At 46.0% G+C, this 21,072-nt stretch overlaps 4 annotated features.

Moving 5' to 3' along the window:
- Nucleotides 2,650-3,558: a transcriptional cis regulatory region, noted in NCBI's record as "candidate enhancer chr5.4451 targeted for multiplex CRISPR interference". NCBI's record gives its function as "positively regulates DUSP1 and STC2 gene expression with high confidence in K562 cells {active_cell/tissue: K562}" and the evidence as "EXISTENCE:mutant phenotype evidence [ECO:0000015][PMID:30612741]".
- Nucleotides 6,208-7,024: an enhancer, noted in NCBI's record as "H3K4me1 hESC enhancer chr5:172232818-172233634 (GRCh37/hg19 assembly coordinates)". NCBI's record gives its function as "activates a minimal SCP1, AML or CMV promoter by ChIP-STARR-seq in naive H9 embryonic stem cells {active_cell/tissue: H9 hESC(naive)}" and the evidence as "EXISTENCE:reporter gene assay evidence [ECO:0000049][PMID:30033119]".
- Nucleotides 7,306-8,505: an enhancer, noted in NCBI's record as "MED14-independent group 3 enhancer chr5:172233916-172235115 (GRCh37/hg19 assembly coordinates)". NCBI's record gives its function as "activates an origin of replication core promoter dependent on BRD2, BRD4, P300/CBP and CDK7 cofactors, and independent of MED14, by STARR-seq in HCT116 cells {active_cell/tissue: HCT116}" and the evidence as "EXISTENCE:reporter gene assay evidence [ECO:0000049][PMID:35650434]".
- Nucleotides 20,283-20,784: an enhancer, noted in NCBI's record as "H3K4me1 hESC enhancer chr5:172246893-172247394 (GRCh37/hg19 assembly coordinates)". NCBI's record gives its function as "activates a minimal SCP1, AML or CMV promoter by ChIP-STARR-seq in naive H9 embryonic stem cells {active_cell/tissue: H9 hESC(naive)}" and the evidence as "EXISTENCE:reporter gene assay evidence [ECO:0000049][PMID:30033119]".

The raw sequence follows: 21,072 nt of genomic DNA on the forward strand, positions 1-21,072 counted from the left end.
AATGGAGCCCAGCCTGGGCTTTGGAGGTGCCACGGCGCAGTGCGAGACAGACGCGCAAGCCTAAATGTTGGGGGTCCCAGGAAAGACTGTGGTTTTACTGTCTTGGGTGAGCTGGGGAAGGCTTTTGAGAGGAGGTGATAGAGGAGCTGGGTGCTGAAGGTTGAGTACTTACCAGGAAAGGCATTTGAAACAAGAACAACCCATGTGAAGGCCGAGCGGCATCAAAGAACAGAGTATTTGGGAAATAGTTGGGTGTTTCTTTAGAGTAAGTGAAATTCAACCTTTTCATTTAGCATAGGAACAGACACAGAGTAAGTGCTCAGTTAAGTGATTGAGCGTGGGTCCAGCACATTGGTACTGTTAGATCGTCCATCAATTTGCCCCCAGCTCTAAGCCTATATTCCTCGGGACAGCCCCATCATCTTCCAGGATGAGGGCAGCCTCAGGGTCAGAGGGAGGAGAGAAGTGAGCTACAAACAAAGAGAGGCAGTGGAGTGGGACAGGCCAGGGCTCGCTTCTCAGGGGCCTGTGCAACGTCTTTCCTGCCTGGGGCCGAATGTTCTGTTCCCTTCCCCGGACAGAACCCGAAGGTTGAGCCAGCCCGCTGACCCGGGCTGAGCTAACGGGAAAGTGGGCCGCACTGGGCCCCAAGTCATCAGCTCACCCTGATGAGCCAGGCCCTGGAGATTCCACCAGCCCCAGGCAGCATTTAGAGAAGTACTAGGCCGAGTCATCAGCTCTGTGCAGTCACTGCCTGCTAGGGCTGCGCAGGGTGAGTGGGGAAATAAACAGATTGCGGCACTGAGCCGTGGGAACCAAGCGCCGGGGCACTGGAGCTCTCTCCCTGGGTTTGTTACCAGAAGATGGTTATGTAATCAGCTCACTCATGCCTTCAACAAGCATGTATTGAGTGCCGACTGGGTGCCAGGCACTGTTTCTAGGCTCTGGAAATATAGCTGGGACAGATATAGAGACCCTGCCTCAGGAAGGTGACATTCTGGTGGCCAAACGCATGCGAACACTGTCCTCCCGCATTCAGTGAGTGTTTACCGGAAGCCAAGCTCTGTCCCAAGCACTGTGCTGATGATATCTCATTTCATCCTCTCTGTCACTGTAGGAGGCAATCTTTATTGTTATCCCATTTTACAGAACACACTCTCCTGCCTTAAGAACCCACCAGCAAGAACCCCCTTCCCCACATCTTCCCATGGTCCTTCTCATCCTTCAGGTCAAATTGCTTCTCAAAAGGCAGTGAGGGCCAGGCACGGTGGCTCACACCTGTAATCCCAGCACTTTGGGAGGTCGAGGTGAGTGGATCACTTGAGATCAGGAGCTCGAAACCAGCCTGGCCAACATGGTGAAACCCCCTCTCTACTAAAAATAAAATGTAAAAAAATTAGCCAGGCATGGTGGCGCACACCTGTAATCCCAGCTACTCGGGAGGCTGAGATGGAGAATCACCTGAACCTGAGAGGTGGAGGTTGCAGTGAGCCGAGATAGTGCCACTGCACTCCAGCCTGGATGACAGAATGAGACTCCACTCAAAAAAAAAAAAAAAAATGCAGTGAGGTAAGGTGGGGCACAAATGGTGACAACTTGCCTTACTCTCAGCTCTTGGTGATCTAATGGGTCAGGAACGAGGGGCCTAGCATCCTCTGATAACAGTCAGGCCCTGCCCACCCAAAGCACTCTCCTGAACTCACTGGAACTTAGAACTTTCAAATGCTGTCAGAGCCTTGTAATCATGCCTTTTCCAGCATTCCTTAATCATCATTACTCTGGGCTCAGGCATTTAATTGCTCATCAGTTTCTTCATACTTTCATGAATGGAGAATTTCTTCATTCTTTCAGGGCGAGTACAGCCTTTGGTCAAATTGTGCCGTAGGTGAGTACTCCCCACCGCACCAATTCTACCCCTGCCCCATAACTGGTATTCTGCCATATGCCTTCACTTACTCACATGAGCCCTGCTGTGTGCCAGGAAATTGGGTCAGGAGCCCCAAGGGAGGCAGAGGAAGAAGCAGCCACCATGATCAGGGGCCAGAGAGAAGGTGGCACCAGGGAATTGGTGAGCCCAGGGATCGTGTCACCCCACAGGGCTAAGAAAAACATTGCCTGCCATCAGCTGCATCTGGAAGGCTAATAGAAGTCATCCAGGTTCAGGGCTGTCTGGGAAGAGAGGAGTGAAAGGACATGTGGCCTTTGGGGAACCTGGACATAGCCAGGGGTGCACCACAACATCTGGGGAGTAAAGGGGCCCAGGCAGCCAAAGGGCCAGCAAAGAGATGAGGGTGGCCAAAAGGGCAAACTCATGGGAGGTCTTCAGATTGGGATTAAGAATTTAACTTATTCATTCAAGAATGAATTCAAGTTGTTGAGCCATATTTCTGATCTAGGAACTGTCCTAGACCTTAGAGACTTGACTACGAAGAAGAAGGCAAGGCTCCTGCCCTCAGTGGAGTCTACCTGGTAGTGGGAGAGTTGGAGCCAGACTGCACCTGCTCACAAGAACAGGTTGTTTTAGATTTTCAGGAATTTGGACAGCCATGTGACATCACTTTGGTAGTTTGAAATTGGCCACAGTGGGTATGTTTACACCACAGAAATTGGCAGACGCTGTAAGGCAGCCTCCCCACTACCCACAACCATCCTGCACCCAAAAGCCGATGTTAAATATTTGCCAGGATACCACTAGGGGATATAGACAATAAACAAGTAGGCAGATAGGCAAATGTGGTAACAATAGATTGTACATAAGGGAAAAAATCAGCAGGGCCTTATGGTACAGAGGGACTGATGGGATGGGGGTGACCAGGGATGGCTTCCAGGAAGTGAAGTCACCTGAGGCTAATATTTAGATCCTGAGGAGGAAGGAATCAGACTTTTATTTTGTTTGTTTGTTTGTTTTGTGTTTTTTTGTAGACACAGGGCCCTACTTTGTTGCCCAGTCTAGTCTCAAACTCCCGGGCTCAAGCGATCCTCCCACTCCAGCCTCCCAAAGTGTTGGGATTACAGGTGTGAGCCACCATGCCCAGCTAGAACCAGGCTTTTGAAGAACTGGGACAGTGTTATAGACTGAATTGCTACCCCCTCAAAATTCATATGTGGAAGCCCTAACCCCCAATACTTCAGTATGTGAATGTATTTGGAGATAAGGCCTTTAAAGAGGCAGTTAAGTTAGAATGAGTCATCACAGTGGGCCCTAATCCAATGACTGGTGTCCTTATAAGAAGAGGAGATTAGGACAGACACCAAGGATGCGTGAGCACAAAGAAAAGACCCTCAGAGGACACAGTGAGAAAATGGTTATCTGCAAGCCAAGGAGAGACCAAACCTGCCGGCACCTTAATCTTGGACTCTCAGCCTCCAGAACTGTGAGGAATAAACTTTTGTTGTTTCACTATCACACACTATCCAGTGTATGGGATTTTGTTATGGCAACCTTAGAAAGCTAATAGAGACAGTATTCCAGGTAGATGGTACAGCAAGTGTCAGCAGCCTGGGGACATGGAGGGAGGCCAGTGCACCTGGAGCACTGTTGGGAAGAGGGGCCTTGATAAGGTACCTTTTCAGAAATTTTTTTTGTGGAGACAGGATCTTCCTAGGTTGCCCAGGCTTGATTCAAACTCCTGAGCTCAAGGGATCCTCCCACCTTGGCCTCCCAAGTAGCCGGGACTACAGCCACACACCACTGTGCCTGGCTAAAGTATCTGGTTTTCATTTAAGTGAGTTGGTGACCATTTGGAGAGGTTTTATTTTTTAAATTCATTTGTGACTTATTAAGATGACTTTTTTCGTGATCTTTCTAATATTTTCATTAAAAACTTTTAATTGGTATTAATATATAATTGTACATATTTATGGGGTACACGTGATATTTCAATACATGCAGACAACCTGTAATGATTAAATCAGGGTAATTGACATATCCATCATCTCAAACAGTTATTATTTCTTTGTACTGGGAATTTTCAAAATCCTCTCTTCTAGCTGCTTCAAAATAAATAATAAATTATTGTTAATTATAGTCACCCTGCTGTGCCATAGAACATCAGAACTTATTTCTTCTATTTAACCGTTTGTACCCATTAATCAGCCATTCCCTACCCCTCCTTGCCCACTTCTCTTCCCAGCCTCTGGTAACCACTATTCTACTCTCCACCTCTATGGAATCAACTTTATTAGCTCCCACTTATGAGTAAGAACACGGAATTTATCCTTCTGTGCCTGGCTTATTTCACTTAGCATGATGTCCTTCATTTGGAGAGTTTTAAGCAGGGAGTAACAGTATAGAGCTCAACAATAATCATTTCTTCTTCTACCAAGAAGATCCAACCAAGATTCTACCAAGAAGATCGTGGGGGATCCAACGAGATGGTGAGCATTCCAACTGTTAACTGCTCTAAATATGATGAAATGTGAGACAAATTGGGAGAATGGTAATAAGGGGGAATAATCCAACTTAGAACAAGGAGAGTCAGAGGTAGACGGTTTAATGATGGGAAGTTCTTCTCCCTCTGTAACAAGCCAAGAGGCAACACGCCTGCAGAAATCAGCTTCTAGATTCAATTCACCTCAACAAGTATCTAGTGAGCCATGCCTGATGTGCCAGGCTTGTTCTAGATTCTGGGGATAACTGAGATTTAAAAACAGCAGACAGTCCAGGTGCAGTGGCTCACACCTGTAATCCCAGCACTTTGGGGGGCTGAGGCAGGAAGATTGCTTGAGCCCAGGAGTTCAAAACCAGCCTGGGCAATGTAACGAGACCCTGTCTCTACACGAAATACAAAAATTAGCCAGGTGTGGTGGCACACACCTGTAGTCCCAGCTACTCAGGAGACTGAGGTAGGAGGATCGCTTGAGCCTTGGAGGTTCAAGGATGCAGAGAGCTATGATTACACCACCGCACTCCAGCCTGGTTGACAGAGTGAAAGCCTGACTCAAAAAAAAAAAAAAAAAAAAAAGCCAAAAACATAGAACAAAACCAGCAGACAAAAATCTCTGTCTTGTGGAGTTGGCATTCTGGGGTGCGTGTAGGGGAGTTGGGAGACAGCAAACATGTAAGTAAGATATAGGCTATGTCAGGTAACTGTGGTGAGAAAATAAAGCAGGGGAGCATGGGGAAGGGTGCTTGGGTGGAGAGGGGTTGCCATTTTCAACATGACAGCCAGGGAAGACGTCAGTGAGAACATGACACTGGAGTGAAGACCCCAAGAAGATGATGTGGATGCTGCAGGGCAGGCCTGTGGGCCCCAGTGAGATGGGGACCCCTGGAGGGTTGTGAGCAGGAGAGAGACACAATCACTCTGTGTGTTGTACCAAGAATAAACTCTCACAGGGAGACAAGGAGACCGGGTGGGAGGTTACTTCAAGAATCCAACAAATGCCCTTTTAAAAAATTGAATGGATGACCGCAGGCCTGTCCAGCCCAGAAGCCACATGTGGACATAGTATCTCCTCAACCTTCAAGAATATGTCTCCTAACACATGCAGCCAACTTTGGAAGGGATGTCACAGATCATCATGGGCTGATGTAGCTGTCCAAGAGATGGCATTGAATTTAAAAATTAGGTTGCAGAACAGCATAATCCATTTTGTGCATGAAAAGTGAGTAGGTGATAGATAATAATAGAAGATAGATGATAGATAGATAGATAGATAGATAGATAAGGATAGACAGATAATAGGTAGATGGTAGGGAGGAAGGGAGAGAGAGAGGGAGTGAGAGAGGACGAAGGAAGGGAGGGAGGGAGGCAGGAAGGGAGGGAGGGAGGGAGGGAGGAAAGGGAAGGGAACAGAAGAAAGGAAGGAAGGGAAGGAAGGAAGGAAAGAAGATACGGAGGGAGGGAGGGAGGAAAGAGAAAGGAACAGAAGAAAGAAAAGAAGGGAAGAAAGGGAAGGAAGGAAAGAGGGAAGGAAGGAAAGAAGGAAGGAAGGAAGGAAGACAGGCAGACTCAATACCCACTTGGTACTGGCTCCTTCAGCTGCTCTCCTGCTGAACTGAGGTCAATCCCACCAGAGCCCATCTCCTTCCAAACCACAAATTCAACCCTATAGTATTGCCAAACATGTGGATTTTAAAAAGTATTTTCTTTATTATGAAATATACATATAAGGAGTATATATGTTCAGGTCCACCATATTGCCAGAACCCAGTGTCTCAATCACATAGATTTTACTGCTGTTTTCCTTTAGAGATGGAGGAGGGTGTTGCACCACACAAGGCCCATCAAGGCTTCTGAAAACTTCGCTTAAGTGCCCCTTCTCTTTTCCCCAAGCTCCTCTGTCCACGGCATCCCTGACGCCCCACCCTGCGCTGTCTGTCAAACGCCCCTCCCAGCTCCGCAGCACTCTGGCCGCCTTGCTTCTCCTTTCTCTTCCTAACATTTCCAAAGCTGAGAGACTGAGAACTGGGCAAAACAAACAGTGGGCTGAGGGCCAAACTGGGATGCTACGGTCCTCCAGGACTTCCCTGGGGGCCTGCTCAGACTCACAAAAAACTCTCTACAGGTGTTACCTTGGGGAAGGCTCAGGGGCTTTAGCTTACCACTTGCCACCCTTTTGAACAATTTCTTCCTTGGAGGTATGTCGGTTTTAGAGAGACAGTAATCATACCCCCACCCAGACCTGTCACTCCCAGTTTGGGACACAGGGAAAGAGAGCAAAAGGAGGTCCTCGATCCCTGCCTACCCCTTCCCTTCCTGCCCCTGATCCAGCCTCTGGGAAGCTGTGTGGACAGCCCAGCCTGAACTTGTCTTGCCCGCACTCTCACCCCTAAAGCTGCCCTTTGGTCATCCCTCAGCCCTAGGTCTACTCTTGTTAGATCAGATGTGGAAAGAGGCCTAGGTAGGCCCTGGAAATAGATTTGGGGATATTTTAGCAGGGAATTATGTCCTGGGTGCCCAGAGCATGGGGTGTGGAGTGGCAGAACAGAGGGGAGGTTAATACTGCATCCACCCAATGATAAGATTACCAGCATCTTTATCCTTTCATCACCTCTTCTGTATTCTGTATTTTCTTTTCTTTCTTTTTTTTTTTTTTTTTTTTTTTTTTTTTTTTGAGATGGAGTCTTGCTCTGTCACCCAGGCTGGAGTGCAGTGGCGTGATCTCGGCTCACTGCAAGCTCTGCCTGCTGGGTTCACACCATTCTCCTGCCTCAGCCTCCCGAGTAGCTGGGACTACAGGCGCCCGCCACCACGCCCAGCTAATTTTTTGTATTTTTAGTAGACACGGGGTTTCACCGTGTTAGCCAGGATGGTCTCGATCTCCTGACCTCGTGATCCGCCCGCCTCGGCCTCCCAAAGTGCTGGGATTACGGGCGTGAGCCACCGCGCCCGGCCTGTATTCTGTATTTTCTATCAAGCAGAACCCTGATGATCTTTGTGTGGTCTCCAAATTGTGCGGCCACATTTGGAGGAAGCGAGATGACTACACAGTGAAGCACAGTGAAGGGGAGGCCTGAGGAGCCACGAAGACCGGTAGCACATTCTGGATTTTGTCAAGTCTTAGCCGGGTGCCCTGAGCAAGTCCCCTCGGCTGTCTTGAGCCTCAGTCTCCTTCTCTGTAAAACAGGAATAATAATAACCACGTGAATGGCACAGAGATTTTTAAGATGCAGTTATTACTATTTTTTAAACGTCAATTGATGCCAGGAATATTCTGCCAGCCCTCCAAGGGTGGTTTCAGCAGGCTTACTTCCTGGTCATAATCACTTCCTCCATCCCCGGCTTCTGTCATGCTCAGCCCTGACCTCACCACCGACCCGCCCTGCCCCTCCCATTAGCTGCGTCACCACTGCCTGCCCCCACGTTTAGCCCAGCCCCCAGCCCAGATCTCAGCCTTGGGTGAAAAGTGTCAGCCCGCACACTTTCTGTTTTACCTCCGGCCGCTCTTTTAACCTTTATCCTTTCCCTGCCCCCTTTCAGACCCTCTTACTCACCTCCACAGATGACGTGTAAAAGAGCTCAAATCAGTGTGTTACCTTTCCTGGGGTTATTTTCTTTTTAAACTGAGGTTTTGTCCCTTGGTGAGAAAGCTGGGGTACCGCTGAAAAGAAAGCCAGCCTGGGAGCAAGAGACTTGGATTTAAATCTTGCATCTGTACTTTCTAGTTGTGGGGTCTCTGATGAGTTACTTTAGCTCTCTGAACCTCAGGGTCCTCATCTATAAAATGGAAGAATGTCCAATGCTTTGGGAGGCTGAGGTGGGGGGATCGCTTGAGCCCAGGAGTCCAGGACCAGCCCGGGCAACGTAGCAAGATCCCATGTCTATGAAAAAAACCCACAAATTAGCTGGGTATGTTTGTTCCCACCCATAGTCACAGCTACTTGGGAGGCTGGGGTGGCTCGATTGCTTGAGCCCAGGCGTCCGATGTTACAGTGAGCTGTGTGATCACACCACTGCACTCCAGCCTGAATGACAGAGCAAGACCCTGTCTCTTTAAAAAAAAAAAAAAAAAGAGAGAGAATGAATGATTGAACAATTTCTACCCAACAATTTTGTATATCGAACCACCAACATGTGTAAGACACAGAAGAGGAGTTTGGTCAGTGATAGGTATGTAACCGCCCAGTGGGTTCATCTCGTCTGCTGCCCAGGGGAATGGAAATAGAGACAGAGTTTATACACGCAGAGCCTGCTGAACAGGAAACCGGAGTTTCATTATTGTGCACATCAGCCTCCCAGAAAATTTGGAGGCTAGGGTTTTTTGAAGATAGTTTAGGGGGCTAGGGTATGGGTGCTGCTGACTGGGTGGGGATGCAATCGTAGGGGTGAGGAAAATGGTCCTCATGTACTGAGTCCACTTCTGGGTGGAGGCCTCAGGACTGGTTGAGTGGAGAGTCAAGGGTCCAGGTAGGGCCATCCAGTTGTCAGAAATGCAAAACTCTGAAAAGACATCTTAAAAGGCCTGTCAGGCCCAAAACCCTAAATTCTTTTTTATCTTTTTTTTTTTTTTTTTTTTTTTTGAGACGGAGTCTTACTCTGTCGCCCAGGCTGGAGTGCAGTGGCGCGATCTCTGCTCACTGCAAGCTCCGCCCCCCGGGTTCATGCCATTCTCCTGCCTCAGCCACCACGCCCAGCCCCTAAATTCTTTTTTTATTTGATTTTTGTTTTGTTTTGTTTTCTTTTCTTTTCCCAGATGGGGTATCGCTGTGTTGTCCAGGCTGGAATGCAGTAGCGATATAATGGCTCACTGCAGCCTCAACCTCCCAAGCTCAAGCAATCCTCTTGCCTCAGCTTCCCGAATAGCTGGGACCACAGGTGTGTGCCACCACACCAGCCAAGATTTTATTTTTCTGTAGAGATGGGGTCTCCGTATGATGCCCAGGCTGATCTCAAACTCCTGGGCTGAAGCAATCCTCCCACTCAGCCTCCCGAGGTGCTGGGATTACAGGCTTAAACCATTGAGCCCAGCCCCCAAACCCCAAGTTGTTAGGGGAAAACTAAACACCTAGTGAGACTGCAACAAAATGAGAACCAGAAATGTGGGTGTCCGATAATAGCAGGTTAGTCACCATAAGGAGAGGAAAAGCACATTATATGCAGTTGACTATAAGCACATTTTTGGGAAACCTATACATGGATACAAGATAATATTTACAAAAGCAATCACAAATATAAAGTCTCCAAGATAAGTCGTTGTGGTGTTATGATCTGTATTGATTTTCATCCACAGTTCCTGGTTCATAATCCCATAGCCCTAGTTACAGTGTTTTATTATAATGTTGGGTGAGTTGGGTCTCAGGAAACAAACTCTCCTGACCTCGTTTCACTTACTTCAAGGAAGAACTCTAATCTTCCCCCATCTTTTGGACTGTGGGTTTTAAGACCCTCCCCAGAAAGGGTCCTGTCCTATATCATGGAGGAAGGAATGCTGACTGACATCATTAAGCTTCCATAAAAACCCAAGAGGACGAGGTTTGGAGAGCTTCCAAGTAGCTGAACATGTGGAGGTTCCCGGAGGGTAGCGTACCCAGGGAGGGCATGGAAACCCCGCATCCCTTCCCTTATACCTCACCCTACACATCTCTTCTTCTTTGGTTGGGAGAGGATGGCCAGTCTTGGGAACTGAGCCCTCACTCTGTGGTATCTGACACTATCTCCAGGTAGATAGTGTTGAAATTGAATTGGAGGACACCCAGCTGTTATCCATTGCTTGGTGTATGGGGAAAATCCCACACATTTATTTGGTCACAGAAGTCTTCTGCTGTGTTGGTGACTGTTGTGATGGTGTGAGAGCAGAAGAAAAACATGGTTTGAGAGAGGTTTTCCCTGCACAGTTGTCAAGACTTCTTTAAGAAAATTATAAATAATATTAAGTGGCATTAAAGAAAACCTAAATATGTGGAGATGCATACCATGTTCATGGACAGAAAGGCAATTATCTTCACATTGTCCTAATGCTATTTCTTTTTTCTTCTTCTTTCTTTTTTTTCTTTTTTTTTTTGAGAGAGAGTCTCACTCTGTTGCCCAGACTGGAGCGCAGTGGTATGATCTCAGCTCACTGCAACCTCCACCTCCCGGGTTCAAGAGATTCTTCTGCCTCAGCCTCCCAAGTAGCTGGGACTACAGTTGTATGCCACCACACCTGGCTAATTTTTGTATTTTTAGTACAGATGGGGTTTCACCATATTGGCTAGGCTGGTCTCAAACTCCTGACCTCATGATCCGCCTGCCTCAGCTTCCCAAAGTGCTGGGATTATACGTGTGAGCCACTGCACCCAGTGTCCTAATGCTATTTCAACCAAAAGCCCCAAGCAGTTTTTCGTATAATTTGACAAGCTGAAACTTCAATTTATATGAAGGAGCAAAGGACCAAGGAAGGCTAAGTCTTGCCCAAAGCAGAATTCTGGGCAGGTACTTGGCCTCCAAATATTGAGATTTACTATAAACAACCACAAGTAAGATAGTATGAAAATGACATAGAGATTGACAAACAAATGATGGAACAGAATGAAGGGCCTCAAAATGGATCCACACAGGGATCCAGAATACCTGCTTTCTGGTGGAGGATGCCCTGAAGACTAGTGGGCAAAGAACAATTTATTTCATAAATAAAGCTGGGACAATTGGCTATCCAAATTGGAAAGACAATACCCCTTAACACATAAAAACTCAATTCTAGGTGGATCAAAGTCCTAAATGTGAAAATAAACCCTTAAAACTCTTAGAAGAAAATGTAGAATATTTTTATGATCTCAGGGTAGAGACAGATTTCTTAAGCAAAATACAGAAAATGCAACCACAAAGAAAAAGACTGACATTTTTTGAAACAGTAAGTATGTGATTAAAAAAAACAAAACTGGCACATTTGATAAAATAATTTCTGTTCATTAAAAGACATCATAGGTCAAGCACAGTGGCTCATACCTGTAATCCCAGCACTTTGGGAGGCCTAGGTGGGAGGATTGCTTGTGGCCAAGAGTTCAAGACCAATCTAGGCAACATAGCAACACCCTGTCTCTATAAAAAATACAAATTAGCTGTGTGTGGTGGCATGCAACCTGTAGTCCTAGCTACTCAGGAGGCTGAAGTGGGAGGATCACTTGAGCCTGAGAAGTTGAGGCTGCAATGAGCCATGATTACATCACTGCACTCCAGCCTGGGTGACACAACCAGACTGTCTCTTAAAAAAAAAATTGTTTTTGTCTGGGCACAGTAGCTCACGCCTGGAATCCCAGGCTTTGGGAGGCCAAGGCGGGTGGATCATCTGAGGTCAGGAGTTTGAGACCAGCCTGGCCAACATGGCGAAACCCTGTCTCTACTAAAAACACAAAATTAGCCGGGCATGGTGGCGCTCACCTGTAATCCCAGCTACTTGGGAGGCTGAGGCAGGAGAATCACTTGAACCCGGGAGGTAGAGTTTGCAGTGAACAGAGATCACACCATTGCACTCCAGCCTGGGCAACAAGAGAGAAATTCCGTCTCAAAAAAAAAATTGTTTTAAATAATAATTTAAAATACATCATAATACATGAAATGATGTCATAAATTTAGAGAAGATATTTTAATGTATAATCAATAAATGATTAGTATCCAGAATAAAGTCCTACCAATTCATAAAACTAAGATAATCTCATAGAAAAATGGGCAAAAGACTTAAACAGATATTTTACGTAAGAGGAAACAAATGTGACAAAGGAACTTATGACCAGATGCTCAATTTCATTATCATTCATGGAAATGCAAAATCAAACCACACTGAAATATCATTCTGTACCCACCAAACTGGTAAAAACCGAAAGTCTGACAATAATAAATGTTAGGATGTGGAGCAACTGTGATGACAATATATTCTTGATGACACTGTACGTTGGTGCTGCCACTTTAGAAAATAGAACACTCGGGCTGGGCGCGGTGGGTCAAGCCTGTAATCCCAGCACTTTGGGAGGCTGAGACGGGTGGATCACAAGGTCAGGAGATCAAGAGCATCCTGGCTAACATGGTGAAACCCTGTCTCTACTAAAAATACAAAAAATTTGGCGGGCGTGGTGGCGGGCGCCTGTAGTCCCAGCTACTCGGGAGGCTGAGGCAGGAGAATGGCGTGAACCCGGGAGGTGGAGCTTGCAGTGAGCTGAGACTGTGCCACTGCACTCCAGCCCAGGCAACAGCAAGACTCTGTCTCAAAAAAAAAAAAAAAAAAATTAGCCGGGCACGGTAGCAGCAGCCTCTTAAACCAGCTAGTTGGGAGGCTGAGACAGGAGAATCACTTGAACCAAGGGGGCGGAGGTTGCAGTGAGCAAGATCATGCCACTGCACTCCAGCCTGGGTGACAGAGTGAGACTCCGTCTCAAAAAAAAATGAAAAAGAAAATAGAACACTCACATCTTATGACCCAGCAATTCCAACTCTAATTACATAACTAGAAAAACCTCTTGTACATGTGCATCAGGGTATATGTACAAGAATGGTCATAGCTGTCGTTTATTAAAAATTCTGGAACCAGCTGGGCGTGGTGGCTCAAGCCTGTAATCCCAGCACTTTGGGAGGCTGAGGCGGGCAGATCACTTGAGGTCAGGAGTTTGAGACCAGCCTGGCCAACATGGTGAAACCCTGTCTCTACTAAAAACACAAAAATCAGCCTGGCATGGTGGTGCGTGTCTGTAGTTCCACCTACTTGGGAGGCTGAGGCAGGAGAATCACTTGAACCTGGGAGGCAGAAGTTGTGGTGAGCCGAGATTGTGCTATCGCACTCCAGCCTGGGTGACAGAATGAGACTTCATCTCAAAAAAATAAATAAAATTCTGGGACCATTTTACATACATTAGGATGGCTATGATAAAAAAAAAATTTTAAATAAAAATGCCAGAAAATAACAGGTGTTGGTGAGCATGTGGGGAAATTAGAATGCTTGTGCACTACTGGTGGGAAATGTAGCATGGTGCAGAGACTGTGGAAAACACACTGTGGATCCTCAAAAAATTACACATAGAATTACCATATGATCCAGAAATTCCACTTTTGAGAATACACCCAAAATAACTGAAAGCAGGGGTCTGGGGCGGTGGCTTAAGCCTGTAGTCCCAGAACTTTGGGAGGCCAAGTGTCTCACGCGTCCGTGTGACGAGACCACCAAACAGGCTTTGTGTGAGCAATAAAGCTTTTTAATCACCTGGGTGCAGGCAGGCTGAGTCCAAAAAGAGAGTCAGCAAGGGGTGGTGGGATTATCATTCGTTCTTACAGGTTTTGGGATAGGAGGTGGAGTTAGGAGAAATGTTTTGCGGGCAGTGGGTGGATCTCACAAAGTACATTCTCAAGGGTGGGGAGAATTACAAAGAACCTTCTTAAGGGTGGGGGAGAAACAAATCACAATGGTGGAATGTCATCAGTTAAGGCTATTTTCACTTCTTTTGTGGATCTTCAGTTACTTCAGGCCATCTGGATGTATACGTGCAGGTCACAGGGGATATGATGGCTTAGCTTGGGCTCAGAGGCCTGACACCGAGGCAGGTAGATCACTTGAGGCCAGTAGTTCGAGACCAGCCTGGCCTGAACATGGCGAAACCCCGTCTCTACTAAAAATGCAAAAATTAGCCGGGTGTGGTCGTACACACCTGTAATCCCAGCTACTTGGGAGACTGAGGCAAGAGAATCGCTTGAACTCTCTTGAGGCAGAGGTTGCAGTGAACTGAGATTGTGCCACTGCACTCCAGCCTGAGCAACAGAGCGGGAATGTTAAAAAAAAAAAAAAATTGAAAGCAGAAACTCAAACAGATATTTTATACTGATGGTCATAGCAGCATTCTTCACAATAGCTAAAAAAGGTGGAAGCAACCCAAATGTCCATCAATGGATAAATAAACAAAATATGGTATATACATATAATAGAATATCTTTCAGCCTCAAAAGGAAGGAAATTCTGACATATGCAACAACATGGATGAACCTTGAGGACGTTATGCTAAGTGAAACAAGCTAGACTCACAAAAAGACAAATACTGTATCATTCCACTTATATGAGGTCCCTAAAGTTGTCAAATTCATAGAGACAGAAGGTAGAATGCTGGTTGCCAAAGGCTGAGGGGAGAGAGGAATGGAGAGTTATGGCTTAATGGGTGCGGAGTTTTAGTTTGGGAAGATGAAAAATTCTGGAGATGGATGGTGGCAATGGTTGTACAACAATGTGAATGTACTTAATACCACTGAACTATACACTTAAAAATGGCTAAAATGAGGCTGGGGGTGGTGGCTCACACCTGTAATCCTGGCATTTGGAAGACCGAGGCAGGTGGATCACTTGAGGTCTGGAGTTCAAGACCAGCCTGGCCAACATGGAGAAATCCCATCTCTACTAAAAATACCAAAATTAGCCGAGCATGGTGGCAGGCGCCTGTAGTCCCAGCTACTCGGGAGGCTGAGGCAGGAGAATGGCATGAACCTGGGAGGCAGAGGTTGCAGTGAGCTGAGGTTTTGCCCCTGCATTCCAGTCTGGGAGACAAGAGTGAAACTGTCTCCAAAAAAAAAAAAAAAAAGAAAGAAAGAAAGCAATGGCTAAAAAGGTAAATGTTTATATATATAGACAGAGTATAGACATATATACACATGTATACAACATATACACATGTATATGCTGTATGTACATGTGTATATCATAATAGAAAAATACCAGTAATCATTTAGCTTAATAAAATGTTTTAAAGATAAAAAAAAAATTCCTGGAAACCACCCACATGTATATCAGCAGGAGCATAGATAAATACAGTATATTCATACGGTGTATTATTGTACAGCAATGACAATGAATGATCTAAACCTGCACCATCAACACGGGTGAATCTCACAAACACAATACATGAAAAGGGCAAATTACAAAATAATACAATCCAATTATATATAAAGGTAAAAAACATTACATCATTTTGGGACTCTATCTATCTATCTATCTATCTATCGTAAAACTATATAAAGAAAAGCAAAGGGGCCAGGCGTGGTGACTCACACCTGTAATCTCAGCACTTTGGGAGGCCGAGGTGGGAGGATTGCTTGAGTTCAGGAGTGTGAGACCAGCCTGGGAAACATGGTGAAACTCTGTCTCTACAACAAATAAAAAATTAGCCAGGCATGGTGGCGCATGCCTGTAGTCCCAGCTACTCAGGAGGCTGAGGCAGGAGAATTGCTTGAGCTCAGGAGGTCGAGGCTGCAGTGAGCCGTGATTATGCCACTGCACTCCAGCCAAGGCAACAGAGCAAGACCTTGTCTAAAAAAAAAAAAAAAAAAAAAGAACGATTTGCACAAATTCAAGACGGTGGCTACTCAGGGTGGGTAGAAAGAGGCACATGATCAGAGTGGGGCATGAGAGGGCTTCTTGGATATTGATGATGATCTATTTCTTAAGCTGGGTGATGGATACATGGGTATTCATTCTACATTTGTTCTTTAATTTACACATATGTGTTATATACACTTTTTGGTATCTGAATGATAGCACATAATTATTTTAAAATGCAATATATAGAAAAAAGCCTGGAAGAACTCTAAATTTAATGGTGTCTCAGTAGGGGGACTTTCTTTTTACTTTCTACTTTTTGTATTTTTAAAATAGTCTTTTGTACTTTTATAACGAAAAAAAGGCATTAAATTACAATAAGAAAAAAAAGAAACAAAGAGAGTTTTCCCCTCAAATTTGTTCGGAGAAAAGGGAAGCGAGAGAAGATGGGTGAAAGCTCTGGGCTTCCCCCAATTCTACTGCAATAAAAGATGACATTGGAATTTTGAGGTTAAATGCTGCTTAGGAGATAATGAGTTTTAACCGTTATCTTGAGAAGGGAAACGTTCCTTCGAAAAGCAAATTCCCTGGTCCCTTTTCTCAGAAATTCCCTGCCAGTTTCAAGAGTGGGCAGAGAGTTTTGATGTCCTTTGGAAACAAGGGGACATAACCAAGGAGATAAAGCCACGGGACCCAGCCAGTCCTTGATGGGACTGATTTCAAATGACAATCTTGACACAAATCCCCTTTCAACAGCCTAAAGAGCAGATGAAAGAGATGAAAAAGAGGAAATAACAGAGCTAAGAGAAATTGTAGAGCTGGGAGATGGCTTGAGAATATATGGTCCAACACAGGTAACATAGTTCTGGGTAGTGCGATGGCCTTTGGGCTAAATTTGATTCAGGAGATCTTAGGTTTCTCTTCTTAGTACTATCATCTTATGTACCTGATCTCTTTCCCTTCATCACTCCCAACACAAGATAACAAACTCAACCATTCTCTCTCTTGAGGCATCTGTGTGCCCCACAAACATGTATGCAACACCCACCATGTCTACAAGCCTTGTTCGGCACCTAGAGATGCAGAATGACACAGTGACTGTCCCTTCAAGAAGCTACCCCCTCAAGGTTGGGAGGCAGATACAATGGCCATTAGAATGGAATGTACAAGACATTGTGGGCCATGCGGAAGGGACTAACCCAGCCTGGGGTAATAGGGAGGGCAACCAAAAAGAGATGGCCCTTGTATGAAGTCATAAAGGATGAGCTGCACTAAGCCAGGCAAAGAGGGGTTACGGTGAGTTCTTCCAGGCAAAGAGGATTTTGTCTGGAAGTCCTCTTTGAGCAAAGACATGGAGTCCACATGAGCAAAGACATGGAGGAGAAAAACGGCATGGCACGAAGGGAACTGCAGGTACTGTAGTTTATTTCTTTCTGGGAAGGTGACCATGAGGCAGAGCCTGGCCAGGGGAGGGTGGAGAAACTAACGGGAACCATGTCTAGAAGATCCTTTCTCATCAGGTAGAGGGACTTAGACTCTGTTTCTTGGGCACTGGGGAGCCATGGAGGTATTTTAACAGGGAAGGGAGGTGGCCAATGAGTCCTTTGCATTATGACCAATCTTCTATTTAAATGGCCCACTTGATGATGTCAGGGAAACAAAAAAAAAAAAAGAAAAGAAAGAAAGAAACTATAGGCAGATTAGGGAGAGGACAGATTCATGCTAAACTTGGAGAGACACATCCCTGTCTGAATCCTGCCTCACTACTCACCAGCTGTGATGAGTCACTTCAACATTCGCTGAGCCTCTGCTCATCTGCAAAGTGGGGGCGGTGTGGGAGCATCCAATGAAATGTTTTTGTAGATTTGTACTCACCTGATCTCCCAGATATATTGTTAACCCAGAAATTAAGTGGCTGGATAATATGCACAATATCATTAATCTTAAAAGACTAATAAAGCAAAACACACATGTATGTAAAATGCAGAGAAAAAAGTTGGAAGGAGTCACACCAAATCGAAAATAGGGGTTGCCGCTGGAGAGGTGGAAGGAAGCCAAGATTGGAGCTGGAGATCAAAGGGAGATTTAGCCTCATCTGTAGTTTTCATTTGTACAAGGAAAATGTACTCCTACATTACTTTGCTTGCGTCCTTAAAAATTAATTTTTAAAGGCCAGGTGCAGTGGCTCACAACTGTAATCCCAGCACTTGGGATCACAAGGTCAAAAGATAGAGACCAGCCTGACCAACATGGTGAAACCTCGTCTCTACTAAAAATACAAAAATTAGCTGAGCATGGTGGCGCACGCCTGTAGTCCCAGCTACTCAGGAGGCTGAGGCAGGAGAATCGCTTGAACCCAGGAGGCGGAGGTTGCAGTGAGCCGAGATCATGCCACTGCACTCCAGCCTGGGCGATAGAGCAAGACTCTGCCTCAAAAAAAAAAATTAATTAATTTTTAAATAACCTAACAAAAGCCCTTGACAGAGAGTAGGTGTCCAGTCCGTGTTATCTCCCTTCCTGTCACTTACACAGTAAAGGTGTTTCCAGTTCCATTTCCTAATTCACCCTCATTCCAACTTCAGTTCAAGGTCAGAGTTATTTCTGGCCCGTCATAGTCACTCAATAAATATTCGTAGAAGATCTTCCCTGAAGGGGTCAGTTGATCTCTTGCAAGTGAATTGAAGATTGTCTTGGCAGAACCATGAGCCCAAGGCTTTGACGCCCTGGAGACCACAGAGGAATTGAGCTAGTCCTCAGCAGCCATCCTGAGCCATACTGAGGAGCTGCCATCCCTCTAGCCTTCTGGTAGACCCTGAACTCCTTGGGAATCATCCGCTCTTGCTCCTTTCAGGATTCAGAGCTCCTGGCTGGGAAGACAGAGTAATCGCTGCCTCCATTGCCTTCCCAAAGAAAGGCCAAGATTATCCCTGGCACATCAAAGAGCCCAGTCTCAACAAAGGAAACCATCAGCAGTGGTGGCCTTTGCACCAGGGGAGGAGGGGGATGCCAGAGAGATTTCACTTCCTGGTTAGGGACCCTTTTCCTTTTTTTTTTTTTTTTTTTTTTCTCCAGACAGGTCAAAAATCCTCTGTCACCCATGCTGAAGTATAATGGCACCATCACAGCTCACTGCAGCCTCGACCTCCAGGGCTCAATCAATCCTCCCACCTCAGTCTCCTGAGTAGGTGGGACTACAGATGCACACCACCATGCCCAGCTAATTTTTGTATTTTTTGTAGAGGTGCAGTTTTACCATGTGTCACAGGCTGGTCTCAAATTCCTGGCCTCAAGTGATTGGCCCACCTTGGCCTCCTAAAGTGCTGGGATTACAGGCATGAACCACCACACTTGCCTTCCTTTTTCCTGTTTGAATATCTTGTTTAAATGTTACTTTTTATTTTTTATTTAGTTTTATTTAGGTTTCTTTTTTTGAGAGAGAGTCATACTCCATTGCCCAGGCTAAAGTGCAGTGGCACGATCTCAGATCACTGCAACCTTCATCTCCTGGGTTCAAGTGATCCCCCCACCTCAGCCTCCTGAGTAGCTGGGATCACAGGCATGCACCACCATGCCTGGCTAATTTTGTATTTTTAGTAGAGATGGGGTTTCACTATGTTGGCCAGACTGGTCTTAAACTCCTGGCCTCAAGTGATCCATCCGCCTTGGCCTCCCGAAGTGCTGGAATTACAGGCGTGAGCCACCGCAACTGGCCTTATGTTACTTTTTAAATTAAATACATACTATTCCTTTAATTGGATGAGACTGGGTGCATTCAGGGTAGATAGAGTATGGTATCCGGTGGGAGTATCCAGGGCAGATAGAGTATGGTATGACCATAGACCATTCTTTTAATTAATTAGTTGATGCAAACAAAAAATAAATTTTACAAATGGAAATTCTATTTTGATAACTCTGATTTAGGCCACATGAGAGTTCTTGGTGAATATATGATTTTTGGGGTTATAGCAGAAAGAACAATGATCATTTGATGATTCTAAATATGAACAATGGTGGTATTACTTTTCTGGAGAGGAGGATAAAGTTGATGTCTGCATCCTGCCCACATAACTCCTAAAGCACTTCCTGAGGCTTGGGTGAGGATTTATTTAATTTAATCCACATAGGAAGCCAAGCCCAGAGTCTGCTAAAAATGTAGCTGTTTTGTTTAGGAGGGAAAAGCAAAGAGAAGATGCGATGAAGCCACAGAGCAGGAAGAGGCCTCGGTTGCTGTCCTGACCAGTCCTCTCACTTCACCATCAAGGCCATGAAACCCAGAGAAGGGATGTGACTTGAGATCCAGCCAGACCCAGATCCAGAGTTGGGAGGGCAGGGGTGCTGCAATATGATCACAGAATCGACACTCGACCCCTCCCAGCGACCTGGCAAAGTGGGCACTAACTCCATTCTGCAGAGGTGGAAACTGAGGCCAGTGTGGGGAATGGAAATTGACTGGGCTAAGCTTAGAAGCCTGAACTCTGACCCCAAAGCTCTCTCTTGTACCTTTGACCCCCTTGTCTTGTCCTGCAGCTCTTAAGGTTACAGTGAGCCAGTTTTTCATTTTGCCTTTCTCCAATGGAGGCACCTTGGAAAATAGAGATCTGGCTGGAGCAACCTGGAACATTTGATGATTGGGCTTATTTATATTTATAATTATCTATAGAGTGATAAGCACTTATATGCGGAAGGAGAGAGTTCCTGTCCTGCTCACTGATGTATCATCAACTTGCTAATGAATGAATGAATGAACAAATGCTAATCCTCACAGATCCCCTCTCTACAGAGGAAGAGGCTGAGGCTCAGGGAGGTGCAGTGACTTGCTTCAGAGACACAGGAATCATGCCAGGAATCGTCGGGCCTCCCTTTTTTCTCAGAGAAGAAAGATTGTTTCTGTTTCCTCCTCCGTCATGCTGGGCTTGTCAACCAGCCAGTCACCGGCCCTCCCTGAGGAAGCGCAGCACAGTCACCAGCCAGGAGAACAGATTCACCTGCCCCAGGACGTCAGCGCTGCCCACACACGGTGCCACCCACGCACTGTGACACACACTCACACTTGGGCCCCAGACTCCCCAGGTCCAACCAAGGAGAGGGAATGGCAGAGGAGCGCACAGGGGTGGGGCAGGCACTGAACCCCGCTGGGGAATGGAGGGGGAAAGGGTGGGACAGGCCCCACCCAGCCCCAACTGTCAGAAGACGAAAGAAAGGGTGCAGGTGGGCTCCGGGTTGGAGAAGAAGAAGGTGAGCCAGCAGAGCCGAGTCACGGCAGCCTGCCAAGCCGACTGCTGAGGCAGAGTTAGCACTGGCTGGATGAGACACTTCACACTTCACAGCTCCTGAAAAGTGTGGAGGAAATGCCCACACCCTACATAG

The sequence above is a fragment of the Homo sapiens genome, chromosome 5 (assembly GCF_000001405.40).
Source record: "Homo sapiens chromosome 5, GRCh38.p14 Primary Assembly".
NCBI classification, from domain to species: Eukaryota; Metazoa; Chordata; class Mammalia; order Primates; family Hominidae; genus Homo; species Homo sapiens.